The sequence below is a fragment of the Homo sapiens genome, chromosome 11 (assembly GCF_000001405.40).
Source record: "Homo sapiens chromosome 11, GRCh38.p14 Primary Assembly".
Taxonomy (NCBI): Eukaryota; Metazoa; Chordata; class Mammalia; order Primates; family Hominidae; genus Homo; species Homo sapiens.
The window spans coordinates 28,649,417-28,662,965 of record NC_000011.10 but is presented as its reverse complement, the minus strand read 5'-3'; the positions used below and the strand labels follow the sequence as shown (position 1 = coordinate 28,662,965).

The 13,549-nt window shown below is 35.1% G+C and overlaps 1 long non-coding RNA gene across 1 annotated transcript in view; it reads right to left on the bottom strand.

Moving 5' to 3' along the window:
* Positions 1 to 13,549, bottom strand: part of LINC02758 (long intergenic non-protein coding RNA 2758) — a 140,695-nt gene that overhangs the window by 16,676 nt on the left and 110,470 nt on the right. Inside the window, exon 6 of the long non-coding RNA XR_002957243.2 lies at positions 1,567 to 1,736. This is a non-coding gene — a long non-coding RNA (long intergenic non-protein coding RNA 2758). The remainder of the gene's footprint in view (positions 1 to 1,566; positions 1,737 to 13,549) is intronic.

Sequence of the window (13,549 nt, the reverse complement as noted above, 5' to 3'; positions counted from 1 at the left end):
GAAACATTTACCCTAAGATGATTTTTAAAGTTAGTAGTTTTGTATTTATTTTAATGAACCTCTTAGAACAACATTATGTGACCAATATACTACAACCTGGGATTTCAGTTATTATTGTTTAAAACAAGGCAAATTATAAAGAGTAATTTTTGATTATTTAACAACTACTATGGCCATATTGCTGCATACCAGCTGAATCATAGATAACCTGCAGCTATGACTAAAGTCATGTAATCAGGATTAGAATAGCTGAAGTTTGGGAATTGCTACATTGGTAAAGGGAATGACATGCTCGGATATGGCTTTCAGTAAAGTCTCCAGGGAACTGCCATAAAAAAAATGGATCAAATTGGGATAAGCCAGTAGCTAGGGAGACCAGTGAAGATGCTATTGGAACAGTTCTGGTCAGAAATGAGTAAGATACAAATCAGAGCAGAGGAGTGGGGTTGGAGAGGAGGGGATAGATTTTTAACAGTCTTTAGGACTTTGAGGATGGACCAGAAGTAGGAGTTAAGAAAGAAGGGAAAATCTAGGATGACACCTGGATTTCTAGCTCATAAAACTCAAAAGATTATGGTGGCGACCAAGGAAACGTGAAAAGAGAAACAGGTTTGGAGGGGAATCAATTGAGTTTTTTAACAAGGTAATATGAGTCTTCACTATATTTAAATGTATGAAACTATCTCATTGTTTCATATGTATAAATTATATCTCTTCAATTAAAATTTAATCAAAAACAATAAATAATTTTTATTGTGGTACCCTTTTTTCATAAAAAATAAGAAATGATATTCCTTTTTTATATTTCCCAGGACATGTTTAGTGGAAGAACATCATCTTTTTATTGGAAGGCTTTTAGAGTCATTCCCAAATAGCTGTGTGATCTAGACAAAGTTGCTTAACCTCCCTCAATCTCAGTTCCACATCTCCAAAATGGGATAATAACATTAATAACTGCCACCACATTGTAAAGAGCTGCGCAAGTTTTAGTTAGGAGGGGGATGGGAGGTGGTCTTGTGTTGAATAAGAATTCCTTCTTAATTGGTTTGAATCTCTTTTCAAAATATCAGTAGTGAGAAACTATCTGCGAGGAGGCCTTGTTCAGTAACCACATGTATAATATTTTTCTTCCAATATAACTTTCAAAGAGCAAGGCTGTCTGATGACTGTATCTAGACTTCAAAATGAAATAGATATTTTCCTCTCTAGCCCCATGTTTCCTTCATCCTTGAGATAAACAAAGCTCCACACCTCAAATTCACTTGCATGGTCGATAGGGCTTTCTCCCTTTCTTTTCCCTCACCCACTTGCCTCAGTCTTCTCAGGCTATACCCAAGCCTAGTTGTGATATGTATTGTATATTTTAATGCCTAACTGCTCGGTAATTCTCTAATGTACAAAAAGGTTAGGCTCTCCAAGTGGAAAATGAAATCCACCAGGGTATAACTTAACAGTGTGTTTCCAACATGGGAAAAATGTCAATAAAAGGCTTCCCAGAGCTTCTACAAGAAGACAGAAGGAAAAGATCAGACTACAAAGAGAGAAGAACAAGAAGACTTCAAATACCTCAGTGCTGAAGAACACAAGTGATTTCTAGTTGCCAGGTACGTTGCACTGGAATTCTTTCACTTGACCCACCAGATCCATGGTCCATCCTCCTACATCTGACCTTGGTAGATTATATTAACAGGCACTCTCACCCTCTGGCTTCCTTTTTGATCCAGCCAATGGTAAACCTGAGCAGGAGATTGGAGGGAAAGAGAAGATTACTATGGTATGGTATTCTTTCAGCTTTCTCTCTGGGGAGGCAGGGAGAGTGGGGACAGCAGTCAAAGTGGCTGAATATCCTATCAAGTGCTCCTTTCTAAAACATTCTCCTCTGCCAGTTTCTATTAATCACTCTCTCCCCTTTCCTCTTCAGGCCTAGGGGTGGTAGATGTGCTTTCTGTGTCCTGCTATTGAGTAGTAAGTAGTATTTCTTGGGGCAAAGCCCTCATTCCTCATCTTTCTTTGCTGCATCCTTCAGTCACTTACCTACTTCAGCTACCTTTGCTCTGTAGATAACTCCAAAATCCTTGTCTCTAGCCAAAAATTATCTCTCTTAACATATTCATCATTCCTTTATTACTCTCTCAACAATTTTGAGTATCTACTATGTATTAGGTTTTCCATAACACACAGGTAAATAGCAACATCAGCCTTAATAATGGCTCACAATTATGTAGTATGTTTATATGGCAAACACTGTTCAAGGGCTTTACATACATAACTCATTTAATCTTCATACAACACTGTAAGTTAGGGTTGTTATAGTTCCCATTTAAAGGTAAATGAACAAGCACAGAAAAATTCAGCAATCACCAGAAGCGACACAGTTAGTAGGAAATAGATCCAGCATTTGAACACAGATATACTGGCTCTAGAATGTAAGCTCCTTAACCATTATGTTATACTGTCAGTGTCACACTTCTGGGGTAGTCCCCATCTATCTCATGCCAGAAACTATGGTTTTAAACTTTCTATGAGGTATATTCACAGTGCACCAGAATCTAGAGGCTCTCACTTCCTTTTTAGAGCTGTCTAGAAGCAAAAATATCTGAATTAAGCTTAAATGTAAGAGTTTGCATGTATAGTTTTTTTTTTCTAAAGTCATTGGTAATAAGTATTACTAATGTGGATCAAACCCAGTCTCTAAACCTCAGAAAATAGTATCTGGACAGAGAAATCAGACATTAAGACAGAGAGGTATGATAGAAGGAATCCACCTCTTCCCACCCTGGAAGGCAATTTGCACAATGTCTAAAAGGCTGTAAAAATATGCACATTGTCTGATTTGGCAATTCAATTCTAGAAATATATTCTGAAGAAATAATCAGAGAAGTACAGAAATATTGATAAAAAGCATGTTCATCTGGAGCATGAATTATAAGAATGTCAAACTTGAAATAACTGAAACATGTAGCAAAAGAAAACTTCTTATCCATGGAATGTACATTAAACAGTGACTAAGAATGAGTATATGTATATGTTCAGAGAGAAAATGCTCATAATTTGTTTATTTTTTAAAGTAGTTTAAAAAGAGTACATATTGTGTAATCACTTTTTTTTGTTTAAAGAATTACGCATATGTGTAAGATAATTTTAAGAACCTGGAAGCATATATACCATGTTGTTCTCTCCAGATTGTAGAGTTGTGGATGGATGATTTGTATACTCTTGTGTATTCTTATTGCTACTTCCAATGTTATCTCAATTAACAATTTTTTATAAAAAGTCGCTAGTTTCTTTAATAAATGGCATATTAAATTTTCTTCCACAGAAGCCAAATCAGAAGTGGGTATGTTAGTATTTATTTGCTAGAACATGATTATTTCCAAGAATCATGATTCTGCAGAAATCAAATACAAGTCTATTTATTGTAAATTTACAGCCACCAATTCCATGATAGATTTCTTTTCTATTTAAATTGTCAGAGTCTAATTTACAGGTAACTCTTCTTGCCTTGTTCCTTAATTAAAATTTGATAAAGGAAGGCAGACTGTTCCCTGATTGGATGGATGATGAAAGAAACAAGCATACACAAATAAATAAATAAAAACAATGGGAATACAGATCCCTGTTCTGCTGTTTGCTGGATAAATGATCTCAGAAGAAGTTAATCTTTCCTCATCTCAAGTTAGTTTCCCTATATGTGGGGATAAAAAATAACAAATAATTCAAATAAACTTAATGAGAGTTTAATAAGATGTATGGAAGAGGCATTCTGTAAATCGAAAGTGTTACGTAAATGTTAATCAGGGATAGGTGATAGTATTTTCTGTTTTTCTGTCACTAACTCATTGTGAGACCTTGAGCAAGTCACTTAATCTCAATGACTGTCAAGTCCTTCATCCTTAAAATGAAGAAATGAATGGTGCTAGTGACCTCTCGAGTTGTTTTTGACTCTGTCATTCTATTATTTTGTGACTCTACTGGGCTGTTTATGGGTCATGACAGATGTTTGCAGAGCCCTGGAAAATGATATAAACATTGAAATCATTGAGTTTGGCAGGAAACACAAGGCTGTCTTCAGTGCTGATGTGGTGATGGGTAGGATGGCTTTAGAAGAAATGCTCAGTCCTGGTTCCTCTGAATCATTTTCTCTCCAAGTGAGGACAAAGATGAAGAGTGAAGAGATTCTGCAGCAACTGTATACATGGAAACTGACCCAGAATACTTTCCCAAGGAGCCTCTTGGGAGCAATGCCCAGAGGACAATCTCTGTCCCCCTGGAGGTCTGCCGCTGCCTTCCCAAAATGCTCTGGCTGACTCTCCTGCACTGCCTGTCTTGGAAAGCCCTGTGCTAAAACTTAGTGGTAATGACTCTTTAAATGTATTTATGGTAGCAAAAAAAAGTGTGTGTGAACACTGAGCAGAAGAATGCTCCTGACCAGAGAAATGTGTTACTTATAGAAAATAACTTCTGGAAAAAACAAGCCATTTTTCTCACAGTGAAAGGTACAAAAATCTTCAGAAAAACCAAATATCAGAAGCACAAAGGTATGTAATGATTAGTTGATTCAGCTCAGTCTACTATAAAGGTGGAAACTGAGTCCAAGTGGGAAGAAGGGGGAACAATAAGGGAGATTAGTTACTCAATACCTATTGTTTTCCATTGCTTAGCAATGTCTAATTTTTATTTTCTCTCTCTCTTTCTTACACACATACACCTGATATATATACATCCATACACACATATACACATACATACATATATACATATATATAATAGATACATATTACATATAGTATATTTGTGGGTATAATACCAAAATACATAAATAGATTTCATGATACCAACTCATAAAATGGACATAATTCATTCTCCATTTCTGTAATAAGAAAGCAGAGATTAAGCTAGATTGAATGATTTCTCAAGGTCACAAATATAATTAGTAGAAGAGCTTGGGCCTTTTGTCCTTGACAATCAGAATCAGAGGAAAGAAAAACTTTTTTTTTTCCAGCTTAGAACATCCGGCCCAGGGATGAGTAAGCAGACGCTAAGGTACTTTTTTAACTTCCTAAAGATATAACAACTTGGATGCCTCTAAGTATCAGCCAGTTATTCCTTTATAGTCTTGCTTTCTATCCTGGCCACTGGCAAAGTGGCATTATTATCCTATGAGTCATCATGCTAATAAATATATCTAATTTGAAGATAACCCCTTCTTCACTTTGCAGCATGATTTAACCCTCCCTCCTCTTCATCTTTTTCCATTCCCAGCAACAGTCTCTCGTGTCTAAAAACAAAATGTCACTGAAGCCAGTTTCATGAAATGAGGAGAGGATGATAAGATCCTAAAATATTTCAAAACCATGACTTTAGAATGGAACTTTTGGAGCTGTTTAAAATGACTTACAGAGTGAGTGCCTTTGATGACAGAAAGGATGCAGGAAAGAGTGTGTTCGAGTACATACTAGAGTTTGCAAAGAGACTGTCTTCTGAAAATTACTGGTAGTGGTCAAGGAGTGATATGGAAGGGAAGCGGTCAGGTAACAAGTCCATATTTTTTCAGTTCTTCTTCCAGCCTCCCAAAGCAATTTGTACCTTGGTTTGTGATTGCATTTATCTCCCTGCCTTTTGGCTGTTTCTTTTCATAACTGTATCTTCAAGGGCAAAGATTATTGATTAAAAAGATAATACTCAGGGACTAGCCCAGAGCTTGGCATAGAGAACATTTTTGCAAATATTTGCTTACTGGAAGAATAAGGTTCACAGAAGTAGAAGTTCGGTGAGGCTGTTGAATGGTTTTTATCTGTATAACATTTCTTCCTCCTCTCTCCAATTCTACAATAACTCTTCTCACTTTGAAACATTCGAGTGGGTATAACCCTCACTCACACTGAACCCAGTGATGAGCTTCTGAACCAGGCCTAACCAGCAAGAGCTTGCTACCCCTAGGCCTACCAGGTCAGGTAAATGTGTATGATTCATGCCAGACCAATCAGGGCTTTTCCTTAACATTCTGCAAGCATACTTGGGGAAGTTTTTTTTTTTCTTTTTCTGACTGCATGTGCTCTAAAGACCAAGACCACCATGGGGCCTTTTGCTAATGAGAGAGAGAGAGAGAGAGAGAGAGAGAGGAGAGAGAGAGGTTATATGAACACTCAAAGGCTAACAGAGTTAAGAGAGAAAGCCTTAGTGCCATTCTATAAACACTTGAATCTAGCTTTTACATGAATTGTCTCTTTGTCTTTCCAGATACAAGAACCAGTAAATTATCTTACCATTTCAGTTGGTGTTCTATCACTATCAATCAAAAGAGACAATTCCAAGGCAATAAATCATGTGATTTCTCACAGTCCCTTTCCAAATTTTAGATTCTTTCATCCCATTAATGGAAAGGATGAGCTACTGGCTCATAAAAACTCAACATAAAGGTATCAACTGGGGGTTTCATGGGTGACCTATGTTAAAGAAAATTTCATATTAATGAGAGTTTTTTTCTGGTTTTGTTTTGTTTTTGTTTTTAAAAAGTCTGGCTCTGTTGCCCAGGCTGGAGTGCAGTGGTACAATTATAGCTCACTGCAACCTCCATCTCCCAGGATCAACTGATCCTCCCACCTCAGCCTCCCAGGTAGCTGAAACTACAGGTGCATGCAAACATGCCCAGCTAATTTTTGTACTTTTTGTAGAGACAGTTTCACCATGTTGCCCAGGTTGATCTCGAACTCCTGGCCTCAAGCAATCTACCTGCCTCGGCCTCCCAAAGTGTTAGGAGCCATTGTGCCCAATCTTAATGAGAGTTTTCTAGCCCTGTAAAGAGATTCTCAGCAAAAGCAGTAAAAGAATATTTTCTTCCAGAATTTCAAGTTCTGGCACATATATTTAGGCTCTCACCTGTTTTCCTTGTTACTGTTTCCTAGAACAGTCCATGTGTAATAGAATGATTATCAGGACTGGACTCAGAAACCCTGGGCTTTATCATCTACCATGCAGTACCTCACTGCAACCTTGAATAAAGTCACATTAATCTTTCCATGTCTCACATTCCTTATTGCTAACAAAGGAATAATAATAGCTATTTCAGGGATGGTCACAGAAGTTAAATGAAATTAATTACATACGAATATGGAGGCCTGATGTCAGGCACAAAATATCATTTGTGTTTTTTCATTCTAGCAATTGAATCATGCAAAAAAACTTTACTGAATGCCTACTATGAGCCTACTGTGCTTACTATTTTATTTAGTTTTTAAAAAATATTCAATGGACATTGACTGACATTTTCATGTGGACAAAAGAGAGAGGCTCAGTGAAATTTTCCAGTGAAACTTCATCAGTCTTCATTAGTTAATCTTGACTCTCTTTTTGTACCCTCATGAGATGGATGGGCATCAGCTCCTGCTCTTCCTAAATACTGTAATTCCCTCCAAATCTCTTTCCTCTCTGGAGCCGTTTACCTTTGTGAGATTCTGATGTCTGAATCCTCACACGTATTATTCTGATCAGTCCATCAAAGATTTTCATTTATATCCCTACTTTTTAGAATATACAGGAGATGTATATAGTATTTTTTTCCACTGTCACATTGATTTTTCTCACATCCTTCTCAAAGATTCCTACCATAGGTCTTTGAACCTAAGGTCTATAGTGTGTCTTTTCCACAGACTTCTTGAGCTGGAATTTTGTTAATTATTATTGTTGGCTTATTACAAAACAATGACAATATTCCTGCTATCATAATTGAGCTATCAACATGATTGATACTCTTTTTTCAGAGTCTAGTTTAGATATTAAAGCCATGATCAAATCAAGGATGCTCCCTTGTGATATTTACATACCAATGGGGAAGAAAGAAAACAAATAAATATGTAATAATATAATATGTAACAATATATCAGGAATTGATAAGCTTCACGAAGAAAAATAAAGCAGGGTAAAAAAGTTACCACTTTACATAGAGTAATCATGGAAGGCATCATTAAAGAGGTGGTTTAAGCAGGGAGCTAAATGAAGTGAAGTGATAAGCCATATGATTATCTAGGGAGAAACATTCCAGGTGGAGAAAACAGCCACTGACATGATTGAGGACCAGCAAGGAGGTCATTAAGACTGGAGTAAAGCAAACAAGGGAAGAGTGGTAAGAAACAGCATATATGTCTGGTTTTAATATAATTGTCCATTTATGTATCTGTTTGCCACACTCTACTAAACTCCTCCTAAGCAGGGCAGCATCTTTTGCATCGACATTTCCAGTGCCCAGCATAATACCAACAAAGAGTGGATGCTAAAATTCTCAGTAAATATTTATAATAAATGATACAGGCATGATTGAATTATTGGAACTCTATAAGTGATTGTCAGATTTGGAACCGAATAATACATTCTGGTCAGGCCAGATGTGACATGTTTTAAACACATGTAACTACAGAAACTGTATTGCATGGATAATAAATAGCAAGTCTTGTGTTTTGGTGCTTTTCCGTCAAATGAGACCACTCATGTGAAAAGCACTGAGGTGTTACAGAACTGCTAGTGGGCATATTTTTGTATGTGGCTCCTAATTAATTTAACGTGCTAAATGTGCTAAGAATGTGATGACTTCTGTGACTGAGAAATGTGAAATACAGGAGAAAACAGTGATGAAGGGTTAGGAAGTGAGTGACGCAAATCCATGGTTGAAAAACAAACATGGTAATGACACCAGTGGCATCTTTGGCACTGAAATGACAAAATAAATGATTACTTGCCTAATTCTCCTGTTTTAACTAGATACTGGACAAAGATATTTTTCTAGACACACTAAGAAATAGAGAATCTTTTACACTTTTAGACATTTTGAAGTTTTCAATAATATTATAGTTAAATATCAAAGTATCCTTCATATAAAACACTCAGAAAGGTGATATCACACGACTAAGGTCACACGTGTCAGGAAAGAACTTCAACTCAAGTCTTATAATTCCCAATCTAGTGTTCTTTCCACTTCAGAAGGATTCAGCCACTAACAAGAATTGAAGAATCATTTAGACTAAAGCAAACATGGAATTAAAACTTCTAGAAGTGGCTGTGTTTTTTTAAAAAAATGTCCAGGACAGGACTACTTTAAGTAGGAAATAGTCTTAATTTTATAATCATATTGAACTAACCATGAAATATATAAACATATATTGCATGCAAACTATAACAATTTACTTTTATTCAGGATCTTAACAGAACAGAATAAAGTCCAATTTTAGTTCATTTTGAGGACATTTGTATTTTTCTTATCTAGGCTAGACTTTCATGAATTTGCATGATTCCAGAACAAGGTCCTCTTTATGTCAATATACATAATTTAAATCTCTATAATTAACAAACTATAGGAAATAAATCATGCAATGGAAATATACACTTATTACCACAGGTAAAATTTTCCTCTACTTTAACATCCTTTCTTTTTACTAATAATGTCTTTCCTACCCTTTACATTATTTATGTTAATTATTTTCTATTGTTTGTAAGATATTAAATATCCAAAAATACAATGTAAACACAATGCAAATTAACTAAAAATAAAGGTACACATCTTGTAAGAGATTTACAGCTCTGTGAAGTATGTTAAATTTTCAATGCAGAACTTCTCAAATCCTCCCACAGTCATTCATTGACTCAGGAGAATATGGTAAAATTAGATCAGCTAATTAATACAGAAGAAAAATCAGCAAGGATGATGAGATATGCATTTCAAAGTAGAAAAAGTTTAATACCAAAGGATTAAGAGCAGCCCTATAGAAAATTAGTGCCATTACAGAATATTTTTGCAAAAGTAACCTTCTTAATTATCATGTTATAAAAGTCAAATGTAAACTAAACTTCTAATATTGTACTGTCATACAATTATGCTGAAAAAACTTGCAAAATGAAATCAATGCTCAGTATACTCTTTATCCTAATACTGAGCACATAGTTGCAATAATAATTTAAGCATTATTAAACATAAGATAAACTGTTTTCAAGCTTTAAAATTGTAGAAAACATACAGTGGCTAATTTGTGATTCTTTTATAAATCACCTCCAAAGCAAGAAAGGAACAAAAAACAAGAACACAAAATCCTTCTTCACCAAAACTATAGCAACTAGAATGTAAATAGTCTACATATGTAAACTACACATATAGAATTCTACATACATAGAATGTAAATACAGGGAAGAATGATAATTGAAAATTATACTAGGGTATGGAAAGACAATGAATGAGGATATCCATAGCTTTAACAAACACGGAATAGGTTATTTATCCAAAGTATGTGTCACATCTAGGGAAACAAGACTCATCAGAACAAAAGGTGAATGGCATGGGAAGCATATAAGTTGTAGTGGGAGCTTCCTTAAATCAATTTAAGCATAAAGTATAGATTAGCTGGGAAAGCATGACAAAATATAAAATATATGGAAAGCAACCTGTCAGTGAGGCATAGAAAGGAGATACATTCTATATTATCAACAGCACTAGAGTACAAATTTAGTCCTTCTCATCCAGACTAGAACTTTTCTTGCTCTCTTACATTAACCATCTGAAAAACTCTCCTAAGACCGAAAGATGCTATATGAGAAAAGGAAACAAAGAATAGGACTTTTGTAGCACAAGAAAATTGTGACAAAATGTATCACTATGAATTTTTACAACATAGTATAGTAAAAACTTTTATAAAACAGGAGCACAAAGGAGATCTAAAAGAGCTCAGGAATGCTATAAAACGTAAATAGAAAATAAAGCATTAGTATAAATAGCACAGAAAAGAAGTGGAAGAAAAATTAAAGTCAAACTGGGCCAACAGAAAGTTTCTATGAATTCCAAAAAGTAGAAAAAAGTAAAGACAATATTCCCTAATCCAAGTATTAAAAAAAAAGCAAAGGATGAAAGGAGGGAAGGAAAGAAGAGAAGAAAAGAAGGAAGGAAGGAAGGAAGAGAGGGAGAGAGGGAGTGAGGGAGGGAACTATAAATTGACAAAAAGAAAGCAACAAAAATCTGCCTACAGGAAATTCTAAACTTCTCCCAAACAAGTATTAGATGAAAGAAGAAATTAAAAGTAAACCTGAAAAATATTGTTAAAATAACCATAATTTAAAATAACCATAGTCTACATTTTGAATTTATGAAATATAGCTAAAACAGTGCTCAAAGAAAAAAATCATAGTCATAAGAACTTGTGTCAATAAAGGGAAAGAATAAATGAATCATAGGGAAATAATCATTATTTAATAAATAATAATGAGTAATAACATACAATAAGCTAAAAATAATAAGGGTAAAAACATACAATTATTTCCATAGATGTGGCAAAGGTTCATAAAATTTAACACCCACTCTTGAAAATACCTTTTAATAAAATAGGAATAGGACTTGGAGCTAGCATCTTAATTAATGAGGAAACAATGGGACTAGTTGCATAAAGTAAAAAGCTAATCGAGAATGTCTTTATCATCATTAGTATTTAACACTCTGTAGAGAAATTAACTGATGCAATTAGGAAAAAAAGAGGTATATAAACATTTAAAAGATGGAAGTAAAATTATTATTCATACACATAAAAAATGATTTCGTAGGAAACTTGGAGCATGGGTAAGAAACTATTACAAATTTAAAATAACGTAGTATGGTATCTATACACAAAATTTACATACAGAAAATAATGGGCTTAATATATGCCAACAAAACCATTAGATGAAAATATCTCCATTTACAAAGGCAACAACAGATAAATTTCAAACTTAAGAAAACACATATATGATCAACATGAATATAACTTAAAATGCTAATCATTGGCTCAGAAGTAGTAGACAAAAACATGAAAAGTTTTGTCATGATCTTGGGTGAAAAATTCAAAATCACATACTTCAGTCGTGCTTTAATCAATAAACTTAGTGTATTTTCAATTTTTAAAAAGGCAACAGATGTCTTTGGGAAATAGGAAAGTAGAAAAATATTACTATTTTTATAGATAACAAACAATAATAATCCAGTATATTTTAAATAAAGGAAGAGTGCTAAAAATAATAATTGTGTCAAATATAAGACATGTTATAGAGCTGCAATAATTTTAAAATGTGGTATATTCAGTGAAAAGATCATTTCTGGCTCTTGTCTTGGAAGTAGAATGGACTAGCTTTAGATCCAAATAAGCTGGGATCCATTTAGAAGGAACTCTGGGACTTAGAGACAAAGAATTCCCAACCTTTGAACTGTTGTAACTTTAGAGAGACTGCTGAGTTTGATGGAAACAAAACAAAAAAAAAAGAAAAGAAAGTCAGAGCCAATGATTATTGAGGAATTGGGTCACTTTCTTTCAATAATTATTTACTAAACAGTAGTAAGCCCCATGTCAGGCCCATGTCAAGCACTAAGAGATAAGAGTTTTATGATATATTCTTAAGTCACCTATCCTCACAAAGCCTATTATCCTTCTCTCTTTTTTTAACCTTTTGTTGTTGTTTTGTTGTTTGTTTGTTTGTTTTTAAGAGACAGGGTCTTGCCCTGTCACCCAGGCTGGAGTACAGTGGAGGCTGAGTGCACTGCAGCCTCAACCTCCTGGGCTCAGGCAATCCTCCTGCCTCAGCCTCCCAAGTAGCTAGAACTGTAGGCATGCATCATCATGCCTGACTAATTTGTTTTTATTCTTTGTAAAGACGAACTCTCATTATATTGTCCACGTTGGTCTCAAACTCCTGGCCTCAAGCAATCCTCTCACCTTGGGGTCCCAAAATGCTGCAATTAGAGGCATAAGCCACTGTGCCTAGCCCTTTTATATCTTTTATAAAGTTGAAAAAGTCAATTACATATTTTCTTAACCTCCCTTGTAAGGGCAGCCATGAGTCATCGTTAGGCGAAGTACAATGGGGTGTTCAGGGAAAGACACTTCTTTCCCAAATAAGAAAATGGTGAACGAGGAGAAAGGCTCTCACCACCATTGCAGTCCTCTTGCTTTCTGACTTTGAATGAAGTCATGACTTCTGGATCTGTTGCAGCCATCTTGAGAGCATAAATGATAAAACTATGGTAGAAAAGCTCAGGAAAGGTAGACCAGAAAAACAAAGAATTGTCCAGGTTCTTGTTAATATTGTCGAATAATTGAACCAGACCAGCAGCTACTATCTCCAAACTTATGAGAGAAAAGTACTCCTATTTAGCTAAGCTACTGCCAGTAGGGCATTCTGTTATTTGAAGTGGAATGCATTCCTAGTTGAAAAGACGAATGTAAAAAGCAATAAAAACTGGGCAGATACAGTTCCTGCTTTTACAGAGTTTAGAGTAGTAAGGAACACTAAAATACAATGTCAAAATTGGTTCGAATTTTGTTACTAACCCTTGTTTAGAATTTGTCTCTTACTGTCCATTGTTTAGAAATCACTTTTTATCTATTTGTTTTGACTCACACAAACTCCATGAGTTAGTCTAAATGATGGGTATGTGTGTATGCTTGTGTGTGTGTGTGGATGTGTCTATGTATGTACATACACATATGCACTACTGGCATGGAACACTAAATTGAAAGACTAGACAGAGAGTAGAATGGATGTGTGTGCC